This window comes from Homo sapiens, chromosome 12, assembly GCF_000001405.40.
Source record: "Homo sapiens chromosome 12, GRCh38.p14 Primary Assembly".
Taxonomy (NCBI): Eukaryota; Metazoa; Chordata; class Mammalia; order Primates; family Hominidae; genus Homo; species Homo sapiens.
Window position 1 is genome coordinate 120,260,016 of NC_000012.12, and position 16,637 is coordinate 120,276,652.

General features: G+C 49.8%; 1 protein-coding gene across 21 annotated transcripts in view, besides 3 other annotated features; it reads right to left on the reverse strand.

Moving 5' to 3' along the window:
• PXN (paxillin) overlaps positions 1-5,715 on the reverse strand; it is a 55,284-nt gene extending 49,569 nt beyond the window's left edge. For all 21 annotated transcript variants that reach the window (NM_002859.4, NM_001385990.1, NM_001243756.2 and 18 more), the window contains exon 1: positions 5,602-5,715. In NM_002859.4, coding sequence (NP_002850.2) covers positions 5,602-5,614 — 13 coding nt within the window. In that variant the 5' untranslated portion in view covers positions 5,615-5,715. The remainder of the gene's footprint in view (positions 1-5,601) is intronic.
• Positions 171-737: an enhancer, noted in NCBI's record as "H3K27ac-H3K4me1 hESC enhancer chr12:120697989-120698555 (GRCh37/hg19 assembly coordinates)". NCBI's record gives its function as "activates a minimal SCP1, AML or CMV promoter by ChIP-STARR-seq in naive H9 embryonic stem cells {active_cell/tissue: H9 hESC(naive)}" and the evidence as "EXISTENCE:reporter gene assay evidence [ECO:0000049][PMID:30033119]".
• Positions 5,433-5,582: a silencer, noted in NCBI's record as "silent region_4945". NCBI's record gives its function as "represses an Ori minimal core promoter by ATAC-STARR-seq in GM12878 lymphoblastoid cells {active_cell/tissue: GM12878}" and the evidence as "EXISTENCE:reporter gene assay evidence [ECO:0000049][PMID:35858748]".
• Positions 5,743-6,022: a silencer, noted in NCBI's record as "silent region_4946". NCBI's record gives its function as "represses an Ori minimal core promoter by ATAC-STARR-seq in GM12878 lymphoblastoid cells {active_cell/tissue: GM12878}" and the evidence as "EXISTENCE:reporter gene assay evidence [ECO:0000049][PMID:35858748]".

A 16,637-nucleotide genomic window follows, 5' to 3' on the forward strand; every position in this document is an offset into this window, starting at 1 on the left:
CCTGAGCAGAGGAGGTGGCAAGGGACCACAGGGGACCTGCCCCAGGTTCTCCTTGGCAGTGGTGCTGTAAGCTCACTGCTCTGTCTCAAGAGTAACAGGTGACTGGAGAGGTGACCAGGGAGGGAGGATTGGGGCCTCCCCTGGAACAGGAGACACTCCCCCCAGGACCCTGCATCCCATCCTGAGTGTGTGTCCCCAAGAAAGAACAAAAAGGCCGGGTGCAGTGGCTCACGCCTGTAATGCCAACACTTTGGGAGGCCGAGGCGGGTGGATCACCTGAAGTCGGGAGTTCGAGACCAGCCTGACCAACATGGAGAAACTCCGTCTCTACTAAAAATACAAAATTAGCTGGGCATGGTGGCTCATGCCCCCAGCTACTTGGGGGACTGAGGCAGGAGAATCGCTTGAACCTGGGAGGTGGAGGTTGTGGTGAGCCGAGATCATGCCATTGCCCTCCAGCCTGGGCAATAAGAGTGAAACTCAGGAAAAAAAAAAAAAAGAACAAAAGACAGACAAGAAGCTGCAGAGAACAGGGAAATGACAGATGTGGAAGACAACAGAGAATAGGGTGGGTGCAGAAAAATGTTAGTGTCCTAGAAACAGAAAACAGTCAAACCAATGGGCAACCCATATCAGATGCAGTATTATGAACAGAAGTGTAAAGAATGCACCAGGCACAATGGCTCATGCCTGTAATCCCAGCATTTTGGGAGGTTGATGCAGGCACATTGCTTGAGGCCAGGTGTTCAAGAACAGCCTGGGAAACATGGTGAAACCCTGTCTCCACAAAAAATTTCAAAAATTAGCGGGGCGTTACGGCATATGCCTGTAGTCCTAGCTACTCGGGAGGCTGAGGGAAGAGGAACACTTGGGCCTGGGAGGCAGAGGCTGCAGACCCTGTCTCCAAAAAAAAGTGTACAAAACAGTTGGCTGCAAGTCCCGCTCAGCAGCCAGACCACCTGGATTCAAATCCTAGCACTGCCATTCACTAGTTGTAGAACTTGGGCAAGTGGGCTCACCTCTCTGTGTCTCAGTTTCCTCACTTATAAAACAGGTAGTAGTAATACGACTACTAATAAAACCTGCCTCATATGGCCAGCTTGATTCAAGCAAACAATGCATGTAAAGTGCCCAGCACAGTGCCTGCACATAATAAGAGCTCAATAAATATTATGAGAAAAAGTTCTGTAAACACTGTAAAAAAGAAAAGTACCCCCTAGGCCAGAGTGCAGTGATGCGATCTCGGCTTACTGCAATCTCTGCCTCCCGGGTTCAAGCGATTCTCCTGCCTCAGCCTCCTGAGTAGCTGAGACTACAGGCACGCGCCACCACGCCCAGCTAATTTTTGTATTTTTAGTAGAGATTGGGTTTCACCACATTGGCCAGGCTGGTCTTGAACTCCTGACCTCAAAAGATGCACCCACTTCAGCCTCCCAAAGTGCTGGGATTACAGGTGTGAGCCACCATGCCCGGCAGATTTTGTTATTATTAATGAAGGCACTGAGACTAGGATGATCCCCGGAAAGGCTGCAATGAGGCTGGAAGTTTATTCAACATCTCTGGAGCGAGGTAAAGACGCAAGAGAAGCTTCAGAGTCAGATACTCCAAGCAGGATGACTAAATAGGAGAGGAGGGCTGCTCAGTGGCCCACCAATAACTCTGGCCTTCCATCAGCCTCTCCAGCCAAGGGTACACCCAGTCTCTTCAATGCATGACCATCACTAGGGAAGCTGGAAAAAAGGAATACTGAGATATTCCCTCAAAAGACCTTGAACCTATAGTGACAGGGCTTTGGGTTCCAGTAGGCTGAGCATTTCTCCATCAAGCTATGTCTGCCCAGGCAGCAGACAGCTTCACATATCAGAAAGTGTACCCGCTGAAGAATCAAACCCACCAAGGTTTGAATCCCAGCTCTGCCCCTTACTAGCACAAGCCCAGGAGAAGGTCTGGCACTGATGCAGAGCCCACCAGGAGGGCACTATCGCTGCATGGGTAAATGCCGCCTCTGCCACACGCCCAGCAGCTGGGTGCCCTGACTCTGCCCTAACACACAGAGGGACCACAGACAGGAAAGCCCAAAGTCCAGACTTTCCATGGAAACAGGGAGGCTCCATAGCTCCCAATGCCCCAGGCAACTCCTCTGCCCCCCTAGCACTACCCCCAAGGACAATGAGGCACTGTTTTCCAAAGGGTCAAGACTGCTGAGAAGCTGAAAGAAGACATGTCCAGATTCCAGCAGCAACTGGGCACTGCCAACAGCTGGCTGTTCCCCCTGCTAGAGGATGGGAAGGCAAAGCTACCCAGTCTTGCACTGGACACACCCTTTGCCATTTCCTGGGATGGGCCCCTAGGGCAGAGATTGTTAAAGGTAACTATCAATTACTCAGCAGGCCCCAAGGCTCATCCCCCTGGTTAGTCACCAGCACCTACCACCTTATGATGATTAAGATAACCGGATCTGGAATTGGATGAGCCTGGGTTCAAATCCCAGCACTACCACTAAACTTCCCTGAGCTCAGGTTTCCACATGTATAAAGTGGAGCGAAAACACCTCCCTTTCTGAAAGGTTGTGATACAGCTCGTAAAGTGCTGAGTACAGTGCCTGTCTCCCATGAAGCGCACATGATCATGATTAGACCACAGTTGTGGTCAAAGCCCCCACCAAGTACACTGAGAACATGAACAGAGGAAGAGCAAGCAATCGGGTTAGAAAACACAGTCAGAGTGCATCTCAGTGTTGTGGGAACTCTGTCCAGGAAACTCCGGCCAGAACTTGAACAGAGCGAACTCTGGGCCAAACCAGCATCTAAACAGTAATAAGAAAAGCCACCAAGCAGCCACCCCAAAGAACAAAGTGGAGAGAACACACAGGGAAGGGCAGAACACGCTGTGTTGATATTTTTCTGCTCAGAGAGCTATAAATTTGTAACTTATTAAGCAGCACATGGTGAGTCTGTCATTGGCAACTATGGGAAGGAGAAGAGTTCCCCATTTTTTATTAGACCAAAAAACAAAGTCACAGAGGAGGTGATGCACCCTCTGGCCTTGCTACCGGACACACCATAAACTCTCCCCTGTGTTAGGGACCAGGAGGCACACGGCTGAGAGCACGCTCAGGAGAAAAATAAAAACAAGAGGTCTGGGCTTTGTGTCCACCCTAAGGAAAACAGCTGAGCCACCCTAAGGAAAACAGCTGATGGCAGTGTGCTGAGCCGCCATCCAGACAGCTGACGGGGCCCCAGTGCAAAGGCAAATTCCTCTCCCCTCCTGCACACCCCATTCCTCCCACCCCAGGCTCCGGTCAGTCAGGCGTGGCTTGCCCCTTGGGAGCTCAGGCCAAGGAAGTCGGGCAGCCCGGATGTAAGCAACTGGGAGTCTATGGTAGAAAGCAGTAGAAGTTACAGGTGATCGCCATCACCCAGTGGCAACCCCTCCTTCAAGTGCCCTTGCCTCCTCCCCAGGAAAAAAAGTCTTCTCGGTATACAAGAGCCACAGATCTGGGAGCTAGGAATTGGGCTTCCAGTTATGGTTTTGTCATTTCATGGCTGTGCAGCCTTGGGCAAGAGAATCAGCCTCTCTTCGTCTCGGCTTTCTCAATCTGTAAAAAGGCAGGTGGTCATGACAGCATTGGCTTTAAGGTGGAATCTGATAAAAGGGTTGTTGTGAGGATATCACAAATCGAGGTAGAGGGAAGTACTCCACAAACAGCAATTTAAATCCCTACAATCCCCTCTCCCGTATACAGTACTCTCTTTCCTTTCAGAACTCAGTTTCCTGGCCCTAAATGGAAGACTGTCAGAAGACAGGAATTCCAGATTTCGATGGCGAGCTCTACAAAGACTTTCTCAGTCCTTGAAACAGCACGGGGACTGCCGAGAAGCAACAGAACTGCACCAGCACTTTAGAAACTGTAACTTTGCTCCCAGTTCCCACTGGGAAAGCACTCAGACTCTTAGATCCTGGTTCAAAGAACATCCCCCAGCCTCCTTCCAGCTGAGCTATTTTTATGTGAAAAAAAAAAATACCTGCCTGGAAGCCATGCCAACCTTGAGCACACTGGAAAAATGGGTGCCAAGCCTGACCCAAAGGCAGAACCACGCTTGGCAGCCATCTCACTCTGCAAAACAGGCAGGACCCTACACCAACCCCAGCTCCAGGATCTCAGGGGCACCCTGATCCCAAAAGGAAGCTGGAGGGAAGCAGTCAAGTCCAGCACCTACAAATAGCCAGTCTTAACTTAGTGCCCGGCGCTGCTTGGTAGAGGTCCATCAGTCCTGTCTGCTGAATCTACTCCTCAGAGCCTGGGACAGAGGAAGCATCAGTGGTCACACAAGCCACCCACAGTCCAGAGAGGAAAGACAAGGCTCCTGCAGAGAAGAAACGTTGCCCCCCTCCTCACCTCCCAAGCTCAGGGCCCTCCAGCTACAGGCGTGAAGGGGAGGGAGAGACAGCGAATCCTCCCACTCCTGCGTTCACGCCACCCAAGGCATTCCTAGAACCCTGGCACCAACCCCCTTGGGTTTAGAGTCGGCTTCCAGGAGATACTTTCTTTCCCCTAACACCAGATCAAGACTGGACTGAAAAGAGTAGCCTTGGGGCTCCAATAACAGGAAAACAGTAAAACTCTGTTCTGGGCATCCTGTCCTCTTTCACCTGCGTGGCTTCCAGCAGGGCCTGACGCAGAGAGGGTGGAGGGGACTCTGCTAGCCAGGACACGTTCAGGGATGGTCATACCTTGGGGCCCACCTTCCACCTCATTCCCCTGGCATTTCACCAGAATCTAGGGGTGGGGAGAGAATCAGGACTCCCAAATTACCGTTCTAGACTTAGATACCATGGTAGACGGACTGGTCTGTGAATTGAGGGGCTGGTCCACAGAGCGGGGAGGTCAGTGAGAGAAAATGAGTGATGGGTCCTTGAAACGGGGTGACCAGATTTGAAGTGGGGGGTCAGAAGAGCAGGCAGACTGGGAAACTTGTCTTTGAAATGGGGGTGTGGTCATCACACGCTCATCTCTAGCTTTTGCATCTGACTTGTGAAATGAAAGGGGTGGGCTCCGAGGGGTTATCCCTGAAGGGGGGTGCTAGTCTGTGAAGTGGGGGGCGGCCCTGGAGGGACGGGGAGCAGGTCGAGGAAATGAGGGAGCAGCCCATGAGATCGGGCAGCTGCTCCCCGAGTTGGGCGGTCGATCTGTGAGGTGGGGGTGGGGAGAGGTCTGCGAGGTGAGGGTCCCGTAGCTGACGAGGTGGTCTGCCGCAGGAAGTCTCGTCCCTGCAGCGGACGGGGTGGGTCCCTGAGGGGCGGGCTGGTCCCTGGGGCCCTTCTGGGAGATGGTGATGGGTCCCCGAGGTCGGGGGTCCAGAGGTGAAGCCGTCCCAGACGGGGGGTCGCTGCTGTGCGGTCGGTGCCGGGGCCGGCCTGGCCCGAGACTAAGGCCCGGTTAGGGATCCCAGCCCCGCGGAGCCCCGGCCGGCAGGGACAGGAGCTGAGGCCGGGGCCGCCGAGGGTGGGATCCCGCGGCCCCTGCCGCTCGCTGGCGCCCTCCTGGCCCCAAGCTGCGCGCCTCTCGCCTCCTCCTCCCTCGGCCTCCCGCTCACTCACCGAGGTCGTCCATGGCCGGACCACGGGCGCCGGCTCAGGGTCGCGCTAGCTGCCCGTCCCGGGGCCGCTCGTCTATGCCCCGCAACTTTTCCGCCGCGAGCCTCGGCCCGGAACGGAACGCGCCGCCGCCGCGCGCGCCCGCGCCCGCGCCCGCCGCGCGCCCCGCCCCCGGCCGCCCCCTGTGCACGCGCGCCCCGCCCCCGGACACCCCCGCGAGCTTGCTGGCCCCGCCCCCTGCGCACGCTGGTCCCGCCCCCGCCAAGAGCCCGGGCAGTGGGCGTCGCTGGGCGGGGCGGTGGCGCCCCCTCGCGGCTAAGCGGGCAGGTGGGCGGCTCCCAGGCCTCCAGCCACTCCCATCCATCTTTCTGTCCCTCTCAAAGTCACTTGCCTGACCCTGCGGATGACAAATCCGTCCACAGTCAGCCATGTGTCTGTGCATTCGTCAGCCACTGGGTCATCACATGCCTGTCCACTGGACAGTCAGTTTTGCCCACCTGTCCGTCTGTCACCTGTAGGTCACCACCCAGGAGGACCATAAATCAGTACCAGGCAAGGCCCGGAGCCCGTGGCTGACCTTTCCTGGGGTCGTCCTCTGGATCAATGGCAGTGCAGCTCGCAGTTCACCCTTTCTGGCCCAAACCCAATACCTGTGTGGTTCCATCTCTCTTAATATTACTTCCACACAGCCACCCTCCCTAGACACTTTTCCAAAACTGCATGGGGCAGAGGGGTCCCCAGATTAGACATTAAAGGGAAAACTACAGGAAAGTCACACCCAGTGCTCCCACACACTCGGAAATTGGGTAATAATAACAACTACCATTTATTGAGTGTCTGAATAGACAGACACTATATAGCTATTCTCTAAATTAATCCTCCTAGAGGTACTTCCCTACCCGTTGGGATGGGTGATGGCAGTTTGTGGATTTTATATAAAACTGCTCTGCAAGTACAGCTTCGAGTTCCCCTTGTCCCTCAAGAATCCAGGCCTTCTGGGTCAGATCAGGTCCTCCAGAAAGCAGATGAGATGCTGAGATAAAGCTAGGGGTAATGCCCGTGACAGAGAAGGGGAAATAAGCAGGGTTGGGCAAGGAGACTCAGATCTGACAAACAGGTCAACCCATCAGGGAATTCCAGGACAAAAAAAATGAGAAGTCTCCTTGGGCAGAAGTATCCGGGTTCCAATGCTCCCACCATGTTCAGTCATTTTATAAAGGCAGATCCAAGCAGCTTCTGTGGCTGCCACATTCTCCTATAATAAATTCAAGACCAAAGACTGTTCCTCAAACACTCTATTGCGTGGTTTTCCAGCATCTTGCACATACCTCTATTTTGTTTTAGTTTTTGTGTTTTTGTTTTTGTTTGAGATGGAGTCCCAATCTGTCGCCCAGGTTGGAGTGCAGTGGTGCAATCTCAGCTCACTGCAACCTCCGCCTCCCAGGTTCAAGTGATTCTCCTGCCTCCTGCTGGGATTACAGGCGCATACCACCATGCCTGGCTAATTTTTGTATTTTTAGTAGAGATGGGGTTTCACCATGTTGGCCAGGCTGGTCTTGAACTCCTGATCTCAGGTGATCTCCTGCCTCCTGGTGGGATTACAGGCGTGTACTACCATGCCTGGCTAATTTTTGTATTTTTAGTAGAGACAGGGTTTCACCATGTTGGCCAGGCTGGTCTTGAACTCCTGACTTCAGGTGATCCGCCCCCCTCAGCCTCCCAAAGTGCTGGGATTACAGGTGTGAGCCACCACGCCCAGCCTGTTTTTGTGTTTTTAAGACACAGTCTTGCTTTGTTGCGTAGGCTGGGATGATGAATAAGACTAACATGATGTCTACCTTCTTGAATCTAAAGGTGCACGCAAAAGAGCAAAGTGGTTAGCATGAAGGATGAGTAGCCTCGCCCCACTCCCAGCTGTGTGGAACAGCATGTGCAAAGGTCTGTAGACAAGACATTTAATACTGACCACAAGCCTAGGAGATGAGCATTGTTAGCCCCTTTTACAGCTGGAAGAGTTGAGAGTCAGAGGTTGAATTACTCCAGGTCATACAGCTAATAAGTAAGGAAACTGAGATTTGAACCTGGGGAGGCTTATGCCAAGGCCTGGTTATGAAACGGCTAAGTGAAACTGCTAACAACTTAGACCAACCCCAGGGCATACGCTTGTCCACTTCTCCAAAGGTCTAAAACCTTTCTTTTTCAAAGCTGTGTGGTCTGGAAATGCGAGGCACCCATTGAATGGGCAAGTTTCCCATTGCTATGCAGAGTTCTAAAGAGAACTGAAGCTTCAGAGTTGAGTGCTGGTGCACTCGAACACTCAGGTCCCTGCCAGGGATTTCCTCATGTAAATCATTCCTAAACCCCCATTTCCTCCCTGGCTTCCTTCTTCCCTTGGACTCTCACCCCACAGCAATTAAACTTGGTGTCTAGTTCAGGCTGCTACAACAAAATACTGTAGACCGAGTGACTTATAAACAACAGAAATTATTTTTTCACAGTTTTGGAGGCTGAAAGTTCAAGATCAGGGTGCCAGCACAGTCAGGTTCTGGTGAGGGCCCTCTTCTGGGTTGCAGACTGTTGACTTTTTGTACCCTCACACGGCTCAAAGAGGGTCCCTTTAATAAAGGCACTAACTAATCTCTTTCATGAGGGCCCTGCCCTCATGACCTAATCACCTGTCAGGCCTCACCTCCTAACACTATCGAATTGAGATTAGATTTCAACATATGAATTTTCAAGGATATGAACATTCAGTCCCTTGCATTTGATAAAATCAATCAGGTTTTTTCATTCTTCCTAAAGATTAAACGACATTGACAGAGCAGATGGACAACCCTGCTGACTTCTTGCTAGTGGTTCATCTTGGGCAATTTACTCTGTGCCTCAGTTTCTTCCCCTATAGAAAGGTTAATAGTAGCTACCTCTCAGAGTCCTCATAGGACTAAATAAGAAACGACACACCTAGTACTTAGAATGGTCCTTGTCACCACAAAATAACACTCTTCACTCAGCAATAGAAACAGAACTCGACCAGGCTCACACCTGTAATCCCAGCACTTTGGAAGGCCAAGGCGGGCGGATCACTTGAGGTCAGGAGTTCGAGACCAGCCTGGCCGACATGGCGAAACACCATCTCTACTAAAAATATATAAATTAGCTGGGCATAGTGGTGTGCACCGGTAATTCCAGCTGCTCAGGAGGCTGAGGCAGGAGAATCACCTGAACCCAGGAGACGGAGGTTGCAGTGAGTCGAGACTGTGCCACTGCACTCCTGCCTGCGCGACAGAGTGAGACTCTGTCAAAAAAAAAAACAAAGAAAGAAAGAAGGAAGGAAGGAAGAAAGGAAGGAAGGAAGGATGGAAGGAAGGAAGGAAGGAAAGAAAGAGAGAGAAAAGAAACAGAATGCAAGCCGGATATGCAATCAAAACTTTTCTTTTTTTTCTTTCTTTTTTTTGAGACAGAGTCTCACTCTGTCGCCCAGGGTGGAGTGCAGCGGCATGATCTCAGCTCACTGCAACCTCTGCCTCCCGGGTTCAAGTGATTCTCCTGCCTCAGCCTCCTGAGTAGCTAGGATTACAGGCACCCGCTATCACACCCGACTAATTTTTGTTTTTGTTTTTTTTTTTTTTTTTGAGACGGAGTCTTGCTCTGTCGCCCAGGCTGGAGTGCGGTGGCGCGATCTCGGCTCACTGCACGCTCTGCCTCCCAGGTTCATGCCATTCTCCTGCCTCAGCCTCCCAAGTAGCTGGGACTACAGGCGCCCGCCACCACGCCCAGCTAATTTTTTCTATTTTTAGTAGAGACGGGGTTTCACCGTGTTAGCTAGGATGGTCTCGATCTCCTGACCTCGTGATCCGCCCATCTCGGCCTCTCAAAGTGCTGGGATTACAGGCGTGAGCCACCGCGCCTGGCCAATTTTTGCATTTCTTTAAGTAGAGATGGGGTTTCACCATGTGGGCCAGGCTGGTCTTGAACTCCTGACCTCAGGTGATCCCACCTGCCTCACCTCCCAAAGTGCTGGGATTGCATGTGTGAGCCGCCGCGCCCGGCCCAATCAAAACTTTTTTAGCCAAGTGCAATGGCATATGCCTGTAGTCCCACCTACATGGGATACTGAGGCAGGAGGATTGCTTGAGTTTAGGAGTTTGAGTCCAAACTGGGAAACTAGCAAGACCTCCTCTCTAAAAAATATCTTTAAAAAAATAAAAGAAACAGGCCAGGCACGGTGGCTCATGCCTGTAATCCCAGCACTTTGGGAGGCCAAGATGGGTGGATTACCTCAGGTCAAGAGTTTGAGACCAGCCTGACCAACATGGTGAAACCCCATCTCTACTAAATATACAAAATTAGCTAGGTGTGGTGGCACATGCCTGTAATCCCAGCTACTTGGGAGGCTGAGTCAGGAGAATCGCTTGAACCCGGGAGGCGGAAGTTGCAGTGGGCCAAGATCCAGCCTGGCTTACAAGAGCAGAACTCCATCTCAAAAAATAAAAAATAAAAAAATATATGGCCGGGCACGGCGGCTCATGCCTGTAATCCCAGCACTTTAGGAGGCCGAGGTGAGCAAACAACCTGAGGTCAGGAGTTCAAGACCAGCCTGGCTAACAGCCTGGTCTACTAAAAACACAAAAATTAGCCGGGCATGGTGGTGGGCACCTATAATCTCAGCTACTCCAGAGGCTGAGGCAGGAGAATCGCTTGAACCTGGGAGGTGGAGTTTGCAGTGAGCCAAGATCACACCACTGCACTCCAGCCTGGGGGACAGAGTGAGACTCCATCTCAAAATAAATAAATAAAATAGATAAAATTAATGTTAATAATATATTTTATTTAATTCAATATATCCTCAGTGTTGGCTGGGCATGGTGGCTCACACCTGTAATCCCAGCACTTTGGGAGGCCAAGGCGGGAGGATCACAAGGTCAGGAGATCAAGACCATCCTGGCCATGGTGAAACCCCATCTCTACTAAAAATACAAAAATTAGCTGGTGGCACGTGCCTGTAATCCCAGCTACTCGGGAGGCTGAGGCAGGAGACTCACTTGAACCAGGGAGTCAGAGGTTGCAGTGAGCTGAGATCCCACCACTGCACTCTAGCCTGGCGACAGAGCAAGATTCTGTCTCAAAAAAAAAAAAAAAAATCCTAAATGTTATCATTTCAACTTGTAATCAATATAACAAAATATCAGTGAGATATCTTACTCTTTTTTGTATGAAGTCTTCAAGATCCAATGTGTATTTTACACTTACAGCACATCTCAATCCAAATAGCCACATTTCTTTTCTTTTCTTTTTTTTTTTTTTGAGACAGGGTCTCACTCTGTTGTCCATGCCGGAGTAGAGTGGTGAGACTGAGGCTCACTGCAGCCTCAATCTCCCAGGCTTAAGTGATCCTCCCATCTCTGTCTCCTGGGTAACTGGGACTACAGGCACATGTCACCGCACCTGGCTAATATTTTTTATTTTTAGTAGAGATGAGATTTTGCCATGTTGCCCAGGCTGGTCTTGAACTCCTGGGCTCAAGCCATCTGCCCACCTCTACCTCCCAAAGTGTTGGGATTACAGTCATGAGCCACTGCATCCGGCCCAGCTAGCCACATTTTAAGTACTCAGTAGTCACATGTGGCTAGCGGCTACTGCATTGAACGGTACAGTTTTAAATGTCAGCTGTCATCATTATTTTGGTTTTTGTTTTTTTTTTTGAGATGGAGTCTCGCTCTGTCACCCAGGCTGTAGTGCAATGGCACAATCTCGGCCCACTGCAACCTCTGCCTCCAGGGTTCAAGCAATTCTCCTGCCTCAGCCTCCCGAGTAGCTGGGATTACTGGCGCGCGCCACTACACCTGGCTAATTTTTGTATTTTTAGTAGAGACGGGGTTTCACCATGTTGGCCAGGGTGGTCTCCAATGCCTGACCTCGTGATCCGCCCACCTCGGCCTCCCAAAGTGCTGGGATTACCGGAATGAGCCACTACGCCTGGCCTATTTTGGGGGTTTTAACCTAAAAATCATTTCCTCAGAAAACTGTTCCCTGACCTGCTGAACTATGTCAGCCCTGTTATTAAAATCTTTTTTTGGGACAGGCGTGGTGGCTCACACCTGCAATCAGCACTTTGGGAGGCCAAGGCAGATGAATCACCTGAGGTCAGGAGATCAAGACCAGCCTGGCCAATATGGTGAAACTCCCCCGTCTCTACTAAAAATACAAAAATTAGCCAGGTGTGGTGGCACACACCTGTAATCCCAGCTACTCGGGAGGCTGAGGGAGGAGAATCACTCAAACCCAGGAGGTGGAGGTTGCAGTGAGCTGAGATCGCACCATTGCACTCCAGCCTGGGCAACAGAACAAGACTCCGTCTCAAAAAATAAAAATAAAAATAAATAAAATCTTTTTTTTAGCATTCTAGAAGCACTCATCATGATTATAATTAAATAATTTCTGGCCGGGCACGGTGGCTCATGCCTGTAATCCCAGCACTTTGGGAGGCTGAGGCGGGTGGATCACGAGGTCAGGAGATCGAGACCATCCTGGCTAACATGGTGAAACCCCATCTCTACTAAAAATATATAAAAAAAAAAAATTAGCCAGGTGTGGTGGCGGGCGTCTGTAGTCCCAGCTACTCAGGAGGCTGAGGCAGGAGAATGGCATGAACCCAGGAGGCAGAGCTTGCAGTGAGCCGAGATCATGCCACTGCACTCCAGCCTGGGTGACAGAGTGAGACTCCTCTCAAAAAAATAAAAAATAAAATAATAATAATAATAATAATAATAATTCCGGCCAGGCACAGTGGCTCATGCCTGTAATCCCAGCATTTTGGGAGGCTGAGGTGGGCAGATCACGAGGTCAAGAGTTAGAGACCATCCTGGACAACATGGTGAAACCCCGTTTCTACTAAAAATACAAAAATTAGCTGGGCGTGGTGGCGCATGCCTGCAGTCCCAGCTACTCGGGAGGCTGAGGCAGGAGAATGGCGTGAACCCGGGAAGTGGAGCTTGCAGTGAGCCGAGATTGCGCCACTGCACTCCAGCCTGGTGACAGAGCGAGACTCTGTCTCAAAAATAGTAATAATAATCATTCCTATTAACTTGTTATTTGTGTTTGTCTCCTACTAGACTGTAGGCTTCAGAAAGGTGGAGACCATTTGCTCATTGTTCTATCCCAGTGCTGGCATACAACAGGTGCTCAATAAAGATGTGTTGGGTGAATAACATTTATTAAGCACACACTTAATGAATTAGCCTTAGCACTGCATTAACTAAAGTTGGGAAGAAAGAGGTTAAGAGAAAAAAAGCAGCCGGGCATGGTGGCTCACACATGTAATTCCAGCACTTTGGGAGGCCAAGGTGGGTGGATCACCTGAGGTCAGGAGTTCAACACCAGCCTGGCCAACATGGCGAAACCCCGTCTCTACTAAAAATACAAAAATTACCGGCCAGGCGCGGTGGCTCACGCGGCTCCTAGCACTTTGGGAGGCTGAGGCAGGTGGATCACCTGAGGTCCGCAGTTCGAGACCAGCCTGACCAACATGGAGAAACCCCATCTCTACTAAAAATACAAAATTAGCCGGGCGTGGTGGCGCATGCCTGTAATCCCAGCTACTCGGGAGGCTGAGGCAGGAGAATGGCTTGAACCCGGGAGGCGGAGGTTGCTATGAGCCGAGATTGCGCCATTGCACTCCAGCCTGGGCAAAAAGAGCGAAACTCTGTCTCAAAAAAAAAGAAAAAAAAAATTACCTGGGCATGGTGGCACATGCCTGTCATCCCAGCTACTAGGGGAGCTGAGGCAGGAGGATCGTTTGAACCTGGGAGGCTTGCAGTGAGCCAAGATCGTGCCACTGCACTCCAGCCTGGGCAACAGAGTGAGACTCTGTCTCAAAAAAAAAAAAAAAAAGAGAGAGAGAGAATAAAAGCAGATCTAGAAGAGTCAGTTCCAGAGCTTATAATATACGTGTGGACATTTTCTTTACAAAACCAATAGTTGGTCATTGTGGGAAAACGTCTCAAAAACTCGAATAAATGGACAAGCACAGTGGCTCACACCTGTAATCCTAGCACTTGGGAGGCTGAGGCAGGAGGATCACTTGAGCTCAGGAGTTCCAGACCAGCCTGGGCAACATAGTAAGACCTCTTCTTTATTTTTATTTTATTTTTTATTGGATTTCCTTTCAGATTCAGACCTACAGATATCTTTTAAAATAAAAAACTTATTTTAAAATGAATAAACTAAGATGAAAATTAAAATTATCCATAATCCAAAACTAAAAGAATGACCAGTTGTAGATTTTCCAGAGCGTTCTTTTACACACAAAAAACATACACATATATGTTTTTAGATATAAAACATTAAATATATATTTGAATATTTTTGCACACTGTTTTGAAACTTGGTTTTCTCATTTACCCATTTATCACTACTTTGTTTTTTGTTTGGGGTTTTTTTTTTTTTTTTTTGGGATAGGGTCTCCCTCTGTCACCCAGAGCTGGAGTACAGTGGTGCAAACACGGCTTACTGCAGCCTCGACCTCCCAGGCTCAAGTGACCCTCCCACCTCAGCCTCCTGAGTAGCTGGGACTACAGGTGTGCACCACCACATCTAGTTATTTTTTTTAATTTTTTGTAGAGCTGGGGGCCTCCCTATGTTGTCCAGCCTGTTCTTGAACTCCTAGGCTCAATCAGTCCTCCAGTCTTGGCCTCCCAAAGAGGTAGAATTACAAGCATGAGCCACTGTGGCCAGTCCAGTGTGATCATCTTTTCATGGCATTTAACATTCTTCTGAAACATCAATTCCTTGGGTAAAACAGCATTGCATCATATAATTGTACCAGGATTTACTTAGCCAATCTCCTGATAAAATTTAGTTAGTTACAAATTTTCACTATAATCAGCAATGCTAGGACAACATCCTTATAGTTAAATCTCGGAACACTTCCTTAATGATTTCCTGCAGATCAGTTCTTAAGGAGTGGAAGTGTGAGGTTAAGTGTCGCGTTAGTCCGTTTACTATGTGTTGACAAAGTGTGGTCTATAACTGCTGTATCTAGATAAATATATCATGTATATTTCATGAGTACTGAGTTGACATGCAACACTGTAGGGTGGTCCCAGGCATAATTCTCCCAAATGTAGTGTGACTAACTGCCACTGGTGGAATGAGAGGTTGTAGCTAGTACAAAGATTTATTATTTTATTTGTATTTTTTGCAGACACAGAGAGGTCTCACTTTGTTGCCCAACTGGTCTCAAACTCCTGGGCTCAAGGAATCCTCCCACCTCGACCTCCCAAAGTGCTGGGATTACACACATGAGCCACCATGCCCAGCTCAGTTTTTTTTTTTTCTTCTTTTCAAGACAGAGTCTCGCTCTGTCGCCCAGGCTAGAGTGCAGTGGCGCGATCTCGGCTCACCGCAAGCTCCACCCCCCGGGTTCACGCCATTCTCCTGTCTCAGCCTCCCGAGTAGCTGGGACTACAGGCGCCTGCCACCACGCCTGGCTAATTTTTTGTATTTTCAGTAGAGACGGGGTTTCACCGTGTTAGCCAGTATGGTCTCGATCTCCTGACCTCGTGATCTGCCCGCCTCGGCCTCCCAAAGTGCTAGGATTACAGGCGTGAGCCACCGCGCCCGGCCAGATTCCTTATTTTAATAGTTACATATTTATGTGTTAGAAAATTATCTAATTAGCACATAAAACCTGTGATGGCTCCAATATTATTTATTTATTTATTTTATTTATTTTAATTTTTGAGACGGAATCTCGCTTTGTCACCAGGCTGGAGTGCGGTGGCACAATCTTGGCTTACTGCAACCTCCGCCTCCCGGGTTCAAGTGATTCTCCTGCCTCAGCCTCCCGAGTAGCTGCGACTACAGGCACCCACCACCATGCCTGGCTAGCTTTTGTATTTTTAGTAGAGATGGGGTTTCACCATGTTGGCCAGGATGGTCTCGATCTCTTGACTTCATAATCCACCTCCCTCGGCTTCCCAATGTGCTGGGATTACAGGCATGAGCCACCGCGCCTGGCCCAGCTCCAATATTATTGTTTAGGATAAAGATAAGGTTTTTTTGTTTGTTTGTTTGTTTTAAAGTGGGTCCACTTAAAGAAAACTATGTAGGGACGGGCACAGTGGCTCACGCCCATAATCCCAGCATTGTGAGAGTCTGAGGGCTGAGGAGGGTGGATCACCTGCGGTCAGGAGTTCAAGACCAGCCTAGCCAACATGGCAAAACGCCATCTCTATTAAAAATACAAAAATTAGCCAGTGTGGTGGTGCAGGCCCCGTAGTCCCAGCTACTTAGGAGGCTGACGTGGGAGGATCACTTGAGCCTGGGAGGCGGATGTTGCAGTGAACCGAGATTATGCCACTGCACTCCAGCCTGGGCGACACAGCAAGACTTCATCTCAAAAAAAAAAAAGAAGATTTGAGCTAGAATTCCAGTTTTCCTCAGTTCCCATTTGGGGATCCTGGGAGAGTCTCTCAGCCTCAGTTTTCTCATCTGTGAGATGGGGATATTGAGAATTCTTCTCCATATGGCATGCCTGCCTGGAAGGGCTTATAAACAAAGAATTGTGTCTGGGCATGGTGGTTCATGCCTATAATCCCAATACTTAGGGAAGCCGAGGTGGGCAGATCACTTGAGGTCAGGAGTTCGAGACCAGCCTGGCCATCATGGTGAAACCCCGTCCCTACTAAAAACACAAAAATTAACTGGGTGTGGTGGCGTGCACCTGTAATTCCAGCTACTTGGGAGGCTGAGGCAGGTAGAATCACTTGAACTCAGGAGACAGAGGTTGCAGTAAGCTGAGACTGGGCCACTGCACTCCAGCCTGGGCAACAGAGTGAGACTCCCATCTCAAAAAAAAAAAAAAAAAAAAAAAAGTTAAAGAAAACAAAGAATTATAAGGTCAAAAAGGATCTCAAGAGATTCTTCAACCTTTTCTCAGGTGAAGGGGGCTGGATTTCCACCTTCATCCTCCTCTCTATCACCTAAGGACCCCATATGTTGACCGGGTGTCCACCTGGAAGTCATCCTCTGTTCCTCCC